Below are 18,444 nucleotides of genomic sequence, written 5' to 3'. Positions count from 1 at the left end.
CCCCTAATGCATTTCAGAGATCTCCAAAACTGCACCTTCTATCACAGGCCCAGAAGCCTAGGAGGGCCGACTAGTCTCATGTGACAAGCCCAAGGTGCCCTGCACAGGCTCACTGACCAGGGCCACCTTGAGACTTTGCTTCCTGCATCTCAGCAGAGTGTTCCTCAGCAACTCCAGCTGTGGCCCAAATGGCCCTAGCTGGGGCTCAACCCAGTGCTCCAAAAAGGAAGTTGTTAACCTTGGCAGTCCCATGCCATGGTTTGAATGGGCTCAGATGCAGCTCATGCCACTTCTCCAGAGGGTACATGCAGTAAGCCTTAGTAACATCTATGCCTATGTGATGCTAATTCTGCAGGGATGAACAATGCAGGAGCAGTGCAGGCATGATGTCCTTCACCTAGATTTCAAAGGATGTATCAAACTTCCTGGGAGTCCGGGCAGAAACCTGCCACAAGAGTGGAACTGCCACAGATAGCCTCCACTAGAATTCCTAATGTATCTTTTTTTCCCGTGAACCCTATACCTGTAGAGCCACTGACAGTGTGCAATACCTGCCTGGGAAAGCTGCAAGTTCTCGTGTGCAACTTCAACCTTTGAAAGCAGCCATGTGAGCTAAGCTCAGCAATGCCATGGGGGTGGGACATCCCAAGACACTGGGGTCCCAACCCCTATCCCAATGTGTCCTGAAGGCAACATATGCAGTGAAATATTTTTCTAGAACCTGAAGATTTAATGCCTGTCCTGTTAGGTTTTGGAGTTGCTTTGGGCTAGTTATTCATTTCTTTTTGCCTGTCTCTTTCTTTTGGAAAGGGAATGTTAACCCTATGCCTGTTCCACCATTGTATCTTGAAAATGGGTTTGGATCATAATCCCCAAGGGCACAATCCAGAACACCATAATTCCAAATGTCAAAATCATGGAAGATCAAAATTGCTAAAGTCTAAAATCTCTAAAATCTAAAATTCCTAATATCTAAAATCTCTAAAATTACAATCACAGGGTAGTTGCATCATGTCAAGCAGAACTCTTCTCTTGTTACTGTCTTTATGCAAAAGAAAATGGATTTTAATTGCATCCTCAAAACATAATAACAGATTGATAATTGAGATCAAGTCTTCTAAAAGTGAATTTCAAGGTATTATCCATAAAGTTTGTTTTTTCCATTAAGCCCAATGCATTTGGTAGAAAATCCAGATGTGTAAATTGGCTAAGCAATACAACAATAATGAAAACTTTGTTTTCTGATAGCTGATAACATTCCAGGAGTTTTTAATGAATTAAAACCACATTTGCCTAAAGAAGCCAGTGAAGTTACTGACTGGTTCCAAAATAATTATGTGCATGGTAGGACAAGAAGACACTTATGCAATGGTGTTGCAGTTTCGTTATCAGCATTGTTTTTGCCAAATTTGTGATCTGTATATGAATGCACGTAAAATGAATTTTAGTGTACCAAAAACAACATAGAAGCATGGCACAGAAGATTGGAAAATTTAACAGGGATTGTTCATGTCAGTGTATGTTGACCCATAGAAGAATTTCAGAAAGAACAGTACCACATAGAAAATGAATATGAAACTATTCTCTGAGGAGAGCCATATCCTAAAAGAAAAAAATAAGGAGATATTTATTTTAATTCAAGCCTTCAAAATATGGTTAATGATCATGAAAGTTGGCCAGCTTTTATGGACTATCTCCACGTAATCCCCCATAATCTATAACTGTAACACATTTTTTCATATGCCAATTTTTTTCTTCTTTTCTTTTTTTAGTTTTTCTTTTTTAAAAACTTTTAGGTTCAAGGGTACATGTGCAGGTTTGTTATATAAGTAAACTTGTGTCATGGGGGTTTGTTGTACAGATAATTTTGTTACCCAGGTGCTAAGCCTAGTATAAATAGTTTTTCTGCTCCTCCCCTTCCTCCCACTATCCACCCTCAGGTAGGCCCCAGTGTCTATTGTTCCCCTCTTTCTGCCCATGTGTTTTCATAACTTAGCTCTCACTTACAAGTGAGAATATGGAATGTTTGGTTTTCTGTTCCTGTGTTAGTTTGCTAAGGATAATGGCTTTTAGCTCCATCCATGTTCCTGCAATAGACAGGATCTCATTCTTTTTAATGGCTGCAGTGTATTTCATGGTGCATATATACACCACATTTTAATGTTAGTTTTTTTAAAAAACTTTTAAATTGTCAGTATTTTCTTTTTTTTTAAACAATTCATTATGCTATGTATTTCATCTTTGCATTACTTTCAATACTGGAGGTATAGTTGTGTGAAGACTTGTAGGGAGTTCTAATGTATTTTGTGTATTTTTCTGCAAATGCGACTCCATGAAAGTGCATTATTGCAAGTTGACTGTGTGTATAAGCATTGTGCATATATGTAGAAATGCTTAAACATTTTCAGTAAAAGAAGAGATGTCCTTTTTCTACATTTGCATTTGTGAAAGATAACATTTCTCAAGATCTTGGTACTTCGGGCAGCTAGTGTGGTGGTGATGCAGTGGTGACCCATCCCAATTTTTGATTGATCTTGTTAAAATACTTATGTTGTTTGTCACAATATTTCAGATGCTGTGGTTATAAAACTGAGTGCACAAAATTACCAATCATCACAATCTGTATTTATACATTCAGCTTTTTGACCTATTTCTTTATGAACACAGGCTATCTGCTTGTAACTGTTATACCCGTGTGACTGTTAGTATACCTGAGTGTTTATGCTTGGAAAAATATTTGTTATTATTGCCTGTTTTATTGCATAAAGTGGCCTATAAATTGTTGTCAGGTTTTTATATGTTTCTCAAATAAATTCCCTTTTAAAAAGGCAAATAAATATTTTTCCAATAATGTTAAAAATTATTTTTTCCATAATCATATTTTCAGGATTTTGATCTTTCAGCATTGTGATTTTAGGATGTTAGACTTCAAGGATTTTCATCTTTTAAGATTTCAATATTTGGGATTATGATGTTTGGAACTGTTTGGGATATGACTGGCTCCCTTCGAAAATAAATAACTTGTTTTGATTTCACAGGCTCAAAACTGGACTTTGGATTTTTTTAGTTGGTGCTAGAATGAGCTAAGACTTTTGAGATTATAGGGATGGAATGATGGTGTTTCTTATTGTGAGAAGGAAATTAGTTTTGGGAAACCAGAGGCAGAGTCCTGTGGTTTAAATATGGTCAGTCCCCACCCAAACTCATGTTGAGGTGTGATCCCCTACGCGGCAGTGTTGGGAGGTGGTGCCTTTTCGAGGTGAGGTCATCAGGAGAAGTTAATGCCTTTATCCTGGGAGTGAATTCTCACTCTCATGGGACTAGATTAGTTACTGGAAGACTGCTTGTTATAAAGTGAGGCTGCTTCTGGTGTTTACTCTCTTTGAACTCAGTTGCTTCTTCTGCTTCTCGGCTGTATTACAGTACAGCATGAGGCCCCCACCAGGAGCCAACTAGATGTGGCTACCCAATTGTGGATCTGCAAATCTCCAGCATAATGTGCTAAATAAACCTATTCCCTTTATTAATTACCCAGTATCAGCTATTTTGTTACAGCAACAGAAAACAGATTAAGACACTGTTGCATCTAGAAGATTACTGTATGTGTAGGTACCTGGTGAAATTTAGAGGATAATTGGTGTTGCAAGATTGACTTATTTAAATCATGAATAACTTTATAAACTAAATATTAAACTCCCTTCACAAATAAAACACTAAGGATTTCAGAAATTATGCAACTTGCCCAAAGTTGCACAGCTTATAGTAAGTGGTAGAGCTTGATTTGAATGCAGAGACTCTGATGACAGAGAATGGAGATGTGAGTTCCATGTGATACTATGGGAAGGGAAGTGTGGGCAACAGCTCTGTAACTTGCTCTCCACTCCTCAGGGATGTAAGCGGCACTCTTGACTTTGACTAGGCCTCCTTGTAAACACTGTAATGTCAATTCTTAGCATGGAGATATTCAGGGAACTTGAAATCTAACAATATTTTAAGCAGGATATATTTGGCATAGCTAGGTTACTTATTATAAATAAAACTGGAATTATGACCTTATGGGATACAGCTGGTTGAAGAACAAAAGTAGTCATGTTTCAACCTGAGTAAATAATGAAGTATAGACACCAAGAAGCTCAAATCAGAACACCTTTCTTTTCTTTAAGTTGTACTACACACATCATTAGATCTCATCTGTTACTCTGAAACCAAAGACGTCTTAGGGCAGAAAGAATAACTCTCTTTTGAAGCTAGATCTGGTGGCTTAGATCCCTTTGAGAGCCCAGTGCTTTGATGCTGCATTCGTAGGCACACAGGCCTACTGTTGGCTTGTATCCTCCTCTAATCATTAGCAGATTTTTATGTTGGTTAAAGTTATGACTTATGTGAGTGTGCAGTGACTATTCAGTGCTTTGTGATTCTGCATACAGCTTCTTAGCATTAGATAGAAAGGGAAGCAGGGATTTAATTCAGTTCAGAGAGATGCTTCTTATGAATCAAAAACTGTAAGCCCCCATAATCTGTATCATGGAAATAAAAGCCTATTGAAGCAAATTTGAAAATAGTTAAAATGGTAAAGTTTATGTTATGTATATCTTACCACAATTTTTATGAAAAGCAAATGGTTAGTGGCACAGCAGGTGGTTCTGACTGGCCATGTGTGTATAGCAGGGGGAGGGCACACTCATGTGACCTCTCCTTGCATGTATTACTCCACACTACATGACTGGTGGTGGTGGCTCAGCTAGGCTTTCTGTTGAACACTTTCTTCTTTATTGATCTAGAAGCTGAAACAGCAGGAGCATTTAATCTTTTAACACTTCACTAGAAGTAAGCTTACATACTCCTGTTTTCTGTTTCTTTATTTTTGCTTTTAGAGACAGGATCTTGCTTTGTCACCTAGGCTGGAATGCAGTGGTACATTAAGCTCAATGCAGTCTTGAAATTCTGCACTCAAACAATCCTGCCTTAGCCCCCCGAGGAGCTAGGACTACAGGTAGCAGCCACTGGACTTGGCGAATTGAAAAAGTAATAATAATAATTAAAGACAGAGCCTTGCTATGTTGCCCAGGCTGGTCTTGAACTCCTGGCCTAGAGTGATCCTTCCTCCCCAGCTTTCCTTTTCTGTTTATTAGTGGTACAAAAATGTGTATCAAAATTTTAACCTGCAATATAAAAAAGTGAAATCAAATTTTTATTTTATAATTTATTTTTAGAGTTGTCTCTTGCTTAGCTGAAAGTACCTTAAAAATATTGGAGAGACACATACCTCCAGACACTTAATGTATTTTCTTCTTTGTCCCACGAAGTCTAGGACTAAAAAGCATAAATTTAGCTATAGATCTTTAAGCTTAATCCAGAAGATTGATTACCAGGTCAGGGTTTTTGTAACTGGGAGCAGAGAACTTTTTCTTGGACCTAATATGTCGAGCTAGATGGAACATGTCTTATTTTTTCTTCACTGAGGACGAACTGATGGTAATATCTTAGATGAGAACCGGGAGTAGGAATGATGGTAAAATGTGGAAACAAGAGCATAAGGACCCTTTAGTGCTAAAAATAAACAAACAGGTCCAGAAAACATAGAGCTAGCTTTGAATTAAGAGCTTAATTAATGAGCTAAACCAAATAAATAATATACTTATGAGAACTACATAGCTATAACCTGTCTAATCTCTATGGAGTTTATAATTGGTGGTCCAAATGAGAAAATGTTGATATTCCACAGGCGAGCACAAAATTAGATTTTAATAAACAGAAGACTACTAGAGGGAAATCATATGCAGAATGTAATTTAAAATGTAATCTTTCAGATGATCTGAAGTTTAGTTCACTTTTACAATATAAATGGAAAGGAAAAACTTGATCAAATGCTTTTTAAATCATGGCAGTTTTATTACAAAATTGTTGGTATAGGATAATAGCTTTCTATAGCTTCTGCATGTAGAAGTTTAAGATGATATTGTGTAAAACATTTATTTATTTATTTATTTATTTATTTATTTATTTATTTATTTATTTATTTTTTGAGACGGAGTCTTGCTCTTGCCGCCCAGGCTAGAGTGCAATGGCACGATCTCAGCTCAGTGCAACCTCTGCCTCCTGTGTTCAAGCGATTCTCCTGCCTCAGCCTCTGGAGTAGCTGGGATTACAGGCGCCCGCCACCATGGCTGACTAATTTTTGCAGTTTTAGTAGAGACGGGGTTTCGCCATGTTGGCCAAGCTGGTCTTGAACTCCTGACCTCGTGATCTGCCTGCCTGAGACTCCCAAAGTGCTGAGATTACAGGCGTGAGCCATTGCGCCCAGACTCTTTTTTTCTTTTTTTTTAAAGAGGCAAGATCTCGCTGTCTCACCCAGGCTAGCATGCAGTGGCATGATCATAGCTCACTGCAGCCTCAACCTCCTGGGCTCAAGCGATCCTCCTGCCTTAGCTTCCCAAATAGAGGGACTGTAGGTGTGCACCACCATGCCCAGCTAATTTTAATTTTATTATTATTATTATTATTATTTTTAGAGATGGGATCTTCCTATGTTGCCCAAGCTGGTTTTAGACTCCTGGTCTCAAGCAATCTTCCTGCCTCAGCCTCCAAAAGTGCTGGGATTACAGATGTGAGCCACCACACCAGGCCTATCTTTTAAATAATTGGAAACATTAGGTAGCTTGCCTCTCTTGATTATCAAGCTACTTTTACACCATGATATCAGGTCCAGAAGGCTTTATATTGCAATATACACAGGCACTGCAATGCATTTATTAATTGTATGTAGCCATAGTACCTGCCTTTGAATAGCTGGGTGACTAATGATGCTTGTGGCCCGTATGTATGGTAGTATTGCCCTAACAGGGCTTCCCTCACACAGGAAGCATTTCTACTGTTATAATGCCGAGCATTGTTGTAACACCAAGGCTATTTTAAATCTGTGCTTTGGCAGTAGTAATAGTTTCTGTGAATACATTCCTAAAGATATTTTGTGATAAAAGGAATATTGTAAAGCCAAAAATGTCAGGAGTTACAACCCTAGAAGATTAGTATGTAATTCAGTTACATAGTCGATCAACCATAAGTCATAAATCCCTAAGAAAACAAGCTTAATTAGTTTGTGTGCATGTCTCATGAAACTACTTGTCAGGGAACTTAATTAATTTTATTAAAAAACAACAACAAAATGAAGCTTAGATTAGAGGCAATAAAAAATCCCTGTGACATTTGGCCACTAATACTCATTTTGTTGACATGTATGACAGAGGATATTATATTTCAGATTACATATTGCTAACCCATGGTTAATGTTACAGAACCCCTTGGTCCTTTGTGTGTAGCAATCTTGCTTCATGCTTTGCAAACTCAACTCAATGAAAGTAAAATTCTCCTTTAGATATTACTCTTTCAAATATAGTTGATCATTTAAGAACATGAACTATACTTTAACCAAGCTCTCTTGAGAGAATATATAATTCTAGAAGACTTTTTTTTTTCACTAACTCAAAGCTAAGCTACAATTCTATTCTCTGATTCTGTTCATACTACCGATTTTGTGCTAATGTGTCACTGTTGGTCATAATTTATTCTACAATAGATTTTAATCTTGGTAAAATAAAAATTGTTTAAAAAGAAAAAAATATAAATACAACTTTGAATTTTTATGAAAAAGTTCCCCACATGCTATTTTATTTCAAAAGGGTTCAATTGCATGATCACAATTTTAATATCTCGTAAGTTATTTCAGCAATTTTTATTCCATAATTAAAATTTAATTAAAACATTATTCATTTATTTCTGACTAACCATTTAAACATGAGAGAAAGGTGCATTTATTGCATTTTGGATATGTTAAGAAGGTCAGAAATCTAAAAGTTAGGGCAAACTAAGCAGACCCTAAAAATAGAGGTTTTGGTCATTTCCTCTAATTGGTGGGGAAAATACTATTTTTGTATGAAGTTCTAAATTCTATTATAAATTGCATTCTATACTTAAACCCTTATATTTCTCACCAACATTTAGAAACTTCAGTATTATAGGTCCAAAGAGGAGGCAAAGTAGAAATAATTTCTTTTTTTTTTGAGACGGAGTCTCACTCTGTCACCCAGACCGCAGTGCAGTGGCGCAATCTTGGCTCACTGCAACCTCTGCCGCCTGGGTTCAAGCGATTCTCCTGAGTAGCTGGGATTACAGGCACCCACCACCACACCCGGCTAATTTTTTTTATTTTTAGTAGAGACGGGGTTTCATCATCTTGGCCAGGTTGGTCTTGAACTCTGGACCTCATGATCCACCCACCTTGGCCTCCCAAAGTGCTGGGATTACAGGCGTGAGCCACCATGCCCAGCCATAGAGAAAAAATATTAACAGAGTCAACTGTCAACAGAGACATGCAGGCAAAGATGTAAAGGGCAGGGCATTTATGAAAAAAAATTATTAAGATCAGCAAAATCTATATGCATAAAATTATCTTTAGATAATTTAATAACTACTAATTGGAACATATGAAATTGCTTCTTTCTGCAAATAAAAAATTGTTGAATATTGGAAACTTCAAGTGTTTCAGCTTAAGAATTGTGTAGCAAATTGTATATATTTTTATCAAGAGAAAATTAGGTATCAAATTGTATGAATTTTCATCAAGAGACAATTCTTTTTGTCAATCAAATATTTATCTATATATTAGAAACTATTTTTTGGCTGGTTAGGAAATCCTTAATCTTTATAATTTTTCTGAACTGAAACAGGAAGTATATTCTCAACATGACAGGCAGGGATGACTCATTTGAAATATATCAGATCATGTTACTCCTCTATTCAAATCCTCCCTGTGACTGGGCTAGCCATTTACTCAGACTTAAAGCTGATGCCCTTAAAATAGTCTATGAACCTCTTCATGGCCTGTCTGTTCTACTTGTTACCTTTCTGATTTCATCTGCTACCACTCTCTTTTTTACTTTCATTGCTCTACTCACACTGACCTTCTTGCTACTTACATGCCAGACCCTGTGTGGTACACTCAGAGACTTTACACTGGCTATTCCCTCCACCTAGAATGTTATTTCTTGACATATGTGAATGAATTATATCCTTACTTCCTCCAGGAGTCTACCCATCATGAAGATAAGTATTTCTCTGAACACCTGGTATTAAATAGCATTATCATGACCCCTGAATTTATTTTATTGCTTGTCACTTAGATTTTTTTATTCTATTACACTCACATCCATTTTATGTAATACATACTTACTTGTTTATTTGATGATTGATTGTCTTAATTCACTACAATGTAATCTTTCTAAGGGCAGGGTTTTTGTTTTATTTGCATCTATAGCCTAAGATCTTTGAATGGGGCTTAGCATATAGCTGGTACTCTGAATAAACAAATGAAATGTGACTAAGTTGAAAGATGATATTTAAATATAGAAAGTTTATTCTGCAGGAGAGGACTTGGAGATCAAAGTCTTAAGCTTTGTGGCAAATATCTAAGAATCTAGGTTCAAAAGTTTTTCCCTAAAATCTTTCAATTTTGAAGTTAATTTTTAAAATAACTTACTTTGCAGAGCCACAGCAGGCACTCTCAGTAAAGAGAAGTTTATGTGAATAAATTGGTATTAAGAATGCATGCCTTTAAATCCTCAACTGACAGTAATTTGATCTAGATTGTCCGGAACTTTGGTGTCAGAAAACCAACAATGATGGTATCTTATAGTATCTTTAAAGAAAAAATAAAGAATTTTGTATTGAGAGAAAATGACTGGCTCCAATGCAAGATTAAGAAGACAAAGGGGGCCGGGCGCGGTGGCTCACGCCTGTAATCCCAGCACTTTGGGAGGCCGAGGGGGGCGGATCACGAGGTCAGGAGATCGGGACCATCCTGGCTAACACGGTGAAACCCCGTCTCTACTAAAAATACAAAAAATTAGCCGGGCGTGGTGGCGGGCGCCTGTAGTCCCAGCTACTCGGGAGGCTGAGGCAGGAGAATGGCGTGAACCCGGGAGGCGGAGCTTGCAGTGAGCCGAGATCGCGCCACTGCACTCCAGCCTGGGCGACAGAGCGAGACTCCGTCTCAAAAAAAAAAAAAAAAAAAAAAAAAAAAAAAAAAAAAAAAAGACAAAGGGGACTCTTTACAATCTTCTCTAGAGATATTTATTCATTCAACTAATATTTGAGTGCCTGCCACATGTGAAGCACAATTTTAAGTGTCATGGAGTTTTGAATAGGCCAAAATTCTTGCTTGAAGTTTTTGTTGAAACAAATGAATTAGTTTAAAAAAAATAAAGAAAATAATTTTAGATGGCGATATGAAGAAAATAAAAGAGGATATATACTAGATTCTGATAGGATGATTAGGAAAGACCTCACTTCCCTAACCAAATGCTAGAGTAAACACCAGGAATTTATCTGGAGGAATGCTTGACAGGCAGGGAACAAGATATACAAAGGCATTAGGAGGAAAAAGACTTAAGTGTGCACAAGAACAAGTGGAAGCTGACAGGGTTGGGAGCAAAGGGGACAAGCGAGTAATGGAGATGAGATTAAAGATCTGGACTATAGAGGGCTTTGTCAGTCATGGGAAGAAGGTTTGGTTTATGTCAAGTGCCATTTGAAGATTTTAAGCAGGCAAGTTACATGATTCGTTTTTTTGTTTGTTTTTTGTTTTGAGACGGAGTCTTGCTCTGTCGCCCAGGCTGGAGTGCAGTGGCACGATCTCGGCTCACTGCAAGCTCCGCCTCCTGGGTTCACGCCATTCTCCTGCCTCAGCCTCCCGAGTAGCTGGGACTACAGGCACCCACCACCGCGCCTGGCTAATTTTTTGTATTTTTAGTAGAGACAGAGTTTCACCGTGTTAGCCAGGATGGTCTCGATCTCCTGACCTCGTGATCCGCCTGCCTCAGCTTCCCAAAGTGTTGGGATTACAGGCGTGAGCCACTGCACCTGGCCACATGATTCGTTTTTAAATGGGTTCCTGAGCTACTATGTGGGGGTTGTAATCTTTTGGCCGTATTTCTTCAAGTACTTCTTGAATACGAAAAGATTTTACTGATATTAACATATTTGGATGATGCCATTAGAATGCTTGTATGTCCCTAAATACTAAAAGAGATTTTACATTGCAGTTTCATAATTACTTCATATGGTTTTGTTTTCCACTGTAATTTTAAATTACCTGTTCTTACCCTTCAAAACTCTCTACTTTAGCCGGTCCATTCCTTCTCTCTCTCTGACTTAATTATTCTATTTAAGAATTTACTGAATCAAAAATAATTAGTTCTATGGTTTAAATATTTGTCCCCTCCCAAACTCATGTTGAAATTTAGTCCCCAATGTGGCGATATTGAGAGGTAGGGCTGTTAAGAGGTGATTGGGACAATTGGATTAATCCATTCATGGATTTATTTATTAATGAGTTATTGTGGGAGTGAGTAGCATTAGTGGCTTTAGCCCCTTCATCATGTGATGCCCTGTGCTGCCTTGAGAATTTGCAGAAGGTCTCCATTAGCAAGAAGACCCTCACCAGACGCAGTCCCTCAACCTTAGACTTCTCAGCCTCCATAACTGTAGGAAATAAATTTGTTTTCTTTATAAATTACCCAGTTTCAGGTATTCTGTTATAAGCAACAGAAAACATGCTAAGACAATCATAATTGGAAAGTCTTAGCTGTGAGAACATGAGATTGTCATAAAACCAGAATTTCTCCAGAATCACTACCAATCTCATATCTACGTCAAAATGTATAAAACAATTTTTCTCCTTGTTTACCTCGTTTATCTGTTGCTTTCTTCATTCCATGTGTATTGATTTCCTGTGGCTGCTGTAATGATCACAGATTCAATGTCTTAAACCACAGAAGCGTATTCATTCACAATTCTAGAAGCCAGACATCCAAAATCAGTATTACTGGGCCAAAACCAAGATTTCAACAGGGCCACATTCTCTCCAGAGGCTCTAGGGGAGAATCCAACGTTTCTTCTTCCAAATGCTGATAGTTGCAGCATTCCTTGACTCTGGCCACATCACTCAAGTTATCTAGAAGAGCATATTCAAGTCTTTCTGGACTGCATCTTCGTATCACCTTCTCTGTGTATGTTAACTCTCCTAATGTCCTCTACATAAAGACACATGTGATTGCATTTGGAGTCCAAAATAATCTCCTCATCTCAACATCCTTAATCACATCTGTGAAGACCATTATTTACCACATAAGGTAACATCCACAGGGCTCAGGTGTTAGAATATGGATCTTCTGAGAAGCCACTTTTTAATCCACTAGAATGTATCTAACACATCAATGTATTTCTAATTTTTTTGTCTTATATAAGTTGTTGTGTTTATCATTTTGTGTTCATTTAAAATAATATTTTTCTATAATTTTAATATTTTTGACATGGAAAGAAAAAAAATTTGAAAGACAGACTCCATAGTATTATTTCATTCACATAAAATCAGGGGTTATCAGTAATAGTCATATTGAGAAATTTGACTCTCTGGTAGGAAGTGAATTCTCTTTGTTGGTATTTGATAAAGCATCTCAGTGGTAACTTGTTTTCTGACATTTGTGCCCCTTTATCTTCCCAGATGTCATCAGTTGCTAGTATATCCCAACTTCCCTATTTTGCTTGAAAGTTGATTCCATTGTTACTACTAGGGGCCCAGGGTGAAGTTACAACACATCAGCTGCTGCAGAGTTCACTTATTCTATCTAGTCCTCTCCCACTCTGGTCACCACTCCCTAGAGGCGTGGATCATTCTTAGTGCTGATCTTACCCATCTGCAGTAGTATTATTCCACGCATATCCTAGGCTGCAATTTCTTCCCTTAAGTAGATATCACCTCCTTTTTATCATTCAGTGAGTCCAGAACTTAACTCTTTGTTCATGAGTCAAGATTAAATGTATTTTGTAACATGTTATTTTTCTTAATTTGCTACAGGAAAGGCAATATTTTTAGTCCACCATCTTTTCTTTTTCTGTTTTTTTTTTTTTTTTTTTTTTTTGAGACGGAGTCTTGCTCTGTCACCCAGGCTGGAGTACAGTGGCGTGATCTCGGCTCACTGCAACCTCTGTCTCCTGGGTTCCAGGGATTCTCCTGCCTCAGCCTCCAGAGTAGCTGGGATTACAGGCACCCACAACCATGCCCAGATAATTTCTGTATTTTTAGTAGAGACGGGGTTTCACCATGTTAGCTAGGCTGGTGTCGAACTCCTGACCTCAGTCTGTCCGCCCGCCTTGGCCTCCCAAAGTGCTGGGATTACAGGCGCGAACCACCGTGCCTGGCCTCAGCCCACAATCTTTTCAAAAATGCATTATAGCCTTACAAAGTACCAAGCACACGGTCACATGACAGGACTTCTTTTCTAACATGATTATACAATTTATAACTTCATAAGGTCATTAACATGAGAGAAATAGAAGAATTCTGAAATATTTGGGGGTATCATAAAAGAGTCCACACTGGAGGAAACATTTGGGATGGATCTTAAAAAATGAGACAGAGAAAGTGAGAAAAGGCTTTACAGGAATAGCTAAGAATATGTGTCAAGATAAAAAAATGTGTTAAAAGGCTCTGCATTCTGTGAAAGGTGAGACATTTAATGTCTTCTTAACACAGACAGAGGTAAAATAAGGGAAGTTTCAGCTTAGAAAATAAAATGAGAAAATTCTATAAATTAACTTTTTCAGTAATTCAGCAAACAAATATGTATCAAATACCTGTTATAATCCAGACAGTTATTTTGCACTGGCTGCTGCCTTTGCACATTTATATCAATGAATCAAGGAGTTTGAAATTTATCATATGGAAAGAAGGGAAATAAAATATATTTTTAATAATGGAGATGAAATTATTCAATCTTGTTTCTAGAAACTAGCATCAATGGCAATCTGAAAAATGGTTTGAAATAAGAAGAAGCTGGTGGTATAAACAGGGAGAGGCAAGTGCAGTCTGCTCAGAGCTGGTAGAGTCTGAGCAAACATTCTGTCAATGGGAATAAAAAGTGAAGATTATTCTTTAAAAATATTTGGTGAGAAATAATTTTATTTCAATTATTTATAAAAATTTGCTCAGATGTAGGAGTAGGTGTGGCTTAATGATTGAACAAATCTCAAGTATCCACATTAGTTATATGAATGAATTGGGACTCCATTTATCTGTACTATATAAAAATGTGTCTGAGAAGCAATTTTGATACTATGATAGAGAAAGTTCTAAAATGGCTCCCAAGAAATCTCATCTCTATTGTACATGCCCTGCATAATACAGGGCAGAGTGAATAGGATGGATTTAATTTCTGTAATTAGTTTATGTCATTTGGCACAGTTGACTTTGACATAGGGAGGTTATTCAGGTGGATCTGACCTAATCACATGAGCCCTTTCAAAACAGCTTCTGCTGATTGGTCACAGAAGAGGAAGTCTGAGATTCTAAGCATGAGAAGTATTCAATGTTTTAAAGATGGAGAAGGCTATGTGACAAGGTGGTAGGCAGCTTGTAGGACATGAGAGTTGCTTCTGGCTAGCAGCCAGATAGAAAAAAATAAATTCAGTCATGCAGCTATAAGGAACTAAATATTCCATCAAAAAAATTAGCTTGAAAGTGGATTTTTCCCTAGTCTTCAAAGACCTCAGCCCAACTAATGTCATAATATCAACCTTGTGATAATCTTAGCAGACAGCCAATTATGCTGTACTAGACTTCTAACAAATAAAAGTTAATAAATGGGTGTAGTTTTATGCTGCTAATTTTGTGGCATTTTGATGCACACCAGTAGAAAACTAATAGAGATACACAACAGTACAAAGAATAAAATAAAGTATGTAAAACAATAAATTTGAGGACGAATGAGAAAATCCTATGCATTTACAGAAACTTAATTTGAAATCTTAATGAAATTGAATTATTTCCTTTAAAAATCTGTAATGCAATATCTGGTATAAAATATAGAAAACAAGACCAATAACTGTAGAAGAAACTGAACATATTAACAAACTGCTGTTCTTACAGAAAGTAGAGAACAGATTTGTTTTTTGATTATATTTTAAAACTTTTATTTTTTTCTGTATGTTATGTATTAAACATCTATATAGAAAATGGCATTATTCTTAATCCATTCTCTGATGCACACACGGTAATGATAATACAACGTCTTTCTTAAAATAAATCACACACCTTTTGCATTTACATTATTAAAAATATTATACATGAATGCAATTTTATGTGTGGACTAGATGTTTAAATATAAAACATTAACATTAAAAATTAAAATAGATAAAAATTACATTAAATTATTTGCAAACAAGCATACATTTAGGATACGTATAAGATAATTCTACTTCTTTTCTTTAACTTTTATTTTAGATTCAGGTGTACATGTGCATATTTGTTATACAGATAAATTGTATGTCACAGGGGTTCAGTGTACAGATTATTTCATCACCCAAGTAATAAGCATAGTGCCCAATAGGTAATTTTTCAATCCACACCCTCCACTCTCAAGTATGCCCTGAGGCATATTGTCTATTGTTGTCTTCTTTTTGTCCAATTGTACTCAATGTTTATCTTTCACTTTTTAGTAAGAACATGCATATATGGTTTTCTGCTCCTGTGTTAATTCACAGGAGGATATGATTAGGATAGGATAATTCTAGGATAATGGCCTCTATCTCCAACCGTATTACTACCGCAAAGGACATGATCTCAATCTTTTTTATGAGTGCATAGTATTCCATGTTGTATATGTATTACATTTTCTTTATCTAGTCTACCATTGATTAGCATTTAGGTTGATTCCATGTCTTTGCTATTGTGAATAGTGCTGTGCTGAACATAGATGTGCATGTGTCTTTATGATAAAATGATTTATATTCCTTCAGGTATATACCCAATAATGGGATTGCTGGGTTGAATGGTAATTCTGTTTAAATTCCTTAAGAAATTGTCACACTGCTTTCCACAATGGCTGAACTAATTTATGTTCCCACCAGCATTGTATAAGCACCCCCTTTTCTTGGTAACTTTGCCAGTATCTGTTAATTTTTGGCTTTTTAATGATAGTCTCTCTGACTAGTTTGAGATAGTATCTCATTATGGTGTTGATATGCATTTCTGTAATGATCAGTGATGTTGAGCATTTTTTCATATGCTTGTTGGCTGTGTGTATGTCTTCTTTTGAAAGTGTCTGTTCATGTCCTTTGCCCATGTTTTTATGGGATTGTTTGTATTTTGCTTGTTACGTTGTTTACATTCCTTATAGATTCTGAATATTAAATCTTTGTCAGATGCATAGTTTGCAAACATTTTCTCCCATTTAGTAAGTTGTCTTTTTACTCTGTTGATAGTTTCTTTTGCCGTGCAGAAGCTCTTTAGTTTAATGAGGTCCCTTTTGTCCATTTTTGCTTTTGTTGCAATTGCTTTTGGATCTTTGTCACATGAACAACTGGAAAATATATGAATGAATCAATGAAATCAATGAAAATTTTATAGTATAAATAGTAACTTATAGTTCTGATGACACTATTGCACATAGTATCATCTCTGAATATAAAGTATGAGAAGATGCTCCTGAAAACAAATAAAGATTTGTTTTTTTCAGATGAGAAGATTTTAGGTGTAAATTATAAAGCTATTGAAATTACAAAATGTTTTAAAGTTTGATGTGTAGGATGCAGGTAAATTTGTGATTGACTTAAAGAAACAATGTTTTCTCTTATAGACTACTATGGTGAAAAGTCTATTTCAAAAGATTAGTGTAAGAACTCGATAGTACTTTTATCACAAAGTCAACATAGAGGAAATATTTTAAATGTCTGTTGTCATTTAATGAGTATCTATCATAAAAAAATATAACATTGCTAAATAAAATATTGAAAAAATATATTTTTGAAGTCATTTTTGGGACTCATCAAGAACATTATTTTTACTTTTACATATTTAATTTAGATGAAGATAATTTTGTTAGATAAACTATGAACATTTTGGACTGGACTCACTGGGGATATCAAACTCTTTAGTCAAACATGTTTTTGGCAATTCATATGCTAGATTTAGATATCTTATTTTTCTAACATATTTAAATCAATTTCTCTATAAGTAAACTCAAGTTTCTAAGACCTTATATTTTTCCATAAGTACATTTTTGGTAGCTATGATGCTGAACATTATGGGGCAACTTGATTGGGCTAGAGAATGCCCAGATAGCTGTTAAAACATTACTTCTATGTGCATATATGACTGAATTCTGGGCAAATAAATAGATTGAGTAAAGAAGATTACACTCACTAATGTAGGTGGCCATTATCCTATCTGTTGAGGATATGAAGAGACAAAAGGAGGGGGAATTTTCTCTCTGCTTAAGCTGGGACATCATCGTCATCTGCCTTTGGACATTGACTCTCCTGGTTCTCAGACCTTCAAGCATAGACCAGGACTTTCACAATTAGCTCCCTTGGTTCTCTGGCCTTCAGGTTTGGACTAGAATTATATCCCTGGCTTCCTTGGGCCTCCAGCTAGCAGATGGCAGATTATGAGATTTTTCAGCCTCTTTAATCACATGAGCCAAAACCTCATAATAAATATCTTTCTTTATATCTCTCTATGTATTCTATTGGTTTTGTTTCTCTGGAGAACTTTGACTAATACAGACTTAGTATTGGTAGTGGGGTTCTAGGAGAGCAGAGTTTTAAGAATGAGTTTCCTGAATTGGTTCTTGGGTTTCTGGAATTGGCTCTCCAATATAATTATATTTAAAGATGCTAATGATTCTATTTCCAGTAGTAAAGACCACTGATGGTCTGTGGTGTGTAATGTTTATAGAGATAACCAAAATATTTTCATTTGATACTCCTAATCAGCCACTTTCAAGAACCAAGGAGCTAAATGATTATACAATATTTTCAAACATAATAAACAAAAAGCAATACCACATTCCAATAGGAATTGTAATGATTAGTGCCATGATGAAGGACTTAAAAGATGCAGAGTTGGTGATTCCCACCACATTCTCGTTCAACTAGCCTGTTTGGCCTGTGCAGAAGACAGATGGATCTTGGAGAATGACAGTGGATTATGTAAGCTTAACCAGGTGGTGACTCCAATTCCTGCTGCTGCTGTACTAGATATGAATTCATTGCTCAAGCAAATTAATACATCCACTGGTAGCTGGTATACAGCTATTGATTTAGAAAATACTTATTTAGTTCACAGGAATCTTTTCTTTTCACAAGATATCACATTAGTCTGTTACATTGGTGACATTATGCTGACTGAATCTAGGGAGCTAGAAGTATCAACTACTACAGACTGTATTGATGTTTTCCAGCATGTTAGAGGCTGGAAAATAAATTCAACAAAAATTCAGAAGCATTATACCTTAGTGAAATTTCCAGGATACAGTAGAGTGGGGCATGTAGAAATAATCCTTCTAAGGTACAGAATAAGTTGTTGAATTTGGCCCTGCGTGCAACCAA

At 36.5% G+C, this 18,444-nt stretch overlaps 1 annotated feature.

Annotated features, from left to right (window-relative positions):
- Positions 8,156–8,432: a silencer, noted in NCBI's record as "fragment chr12:87903779-87904055 (GRCh37/hg19 assembly coordinates)". NCBI's record gives its function as "represses an EF-1alpha promoter that drives an FKBP-Casp9 reporter gene in an ReSE screen in K562 erythroleukemia cells {active_cell/tissue: K562}" and the evidence as "EXISTENCE:reporter gene assay evidence [ECO:0000049][PMID:32094911]".

This window comes from Homo sapiens, chromosome 12 (assembly GCF_000001405.40).
Source record: "Homo sapiens chromosome 12, GRCh38.p14 Primary Assembly".
Taxonomy (NCBI): domain Eukaryota; kingdom Metazoa; phylum Chordata; class Mammalia; order Primates; family Hominidae; genus Homo; species Homo sapiens.
The sequence above is the reverse complement of the archived record's forward strand: the minus strand, read 5'-3'. Positions and strand labels throughout refer to the sequence as shown.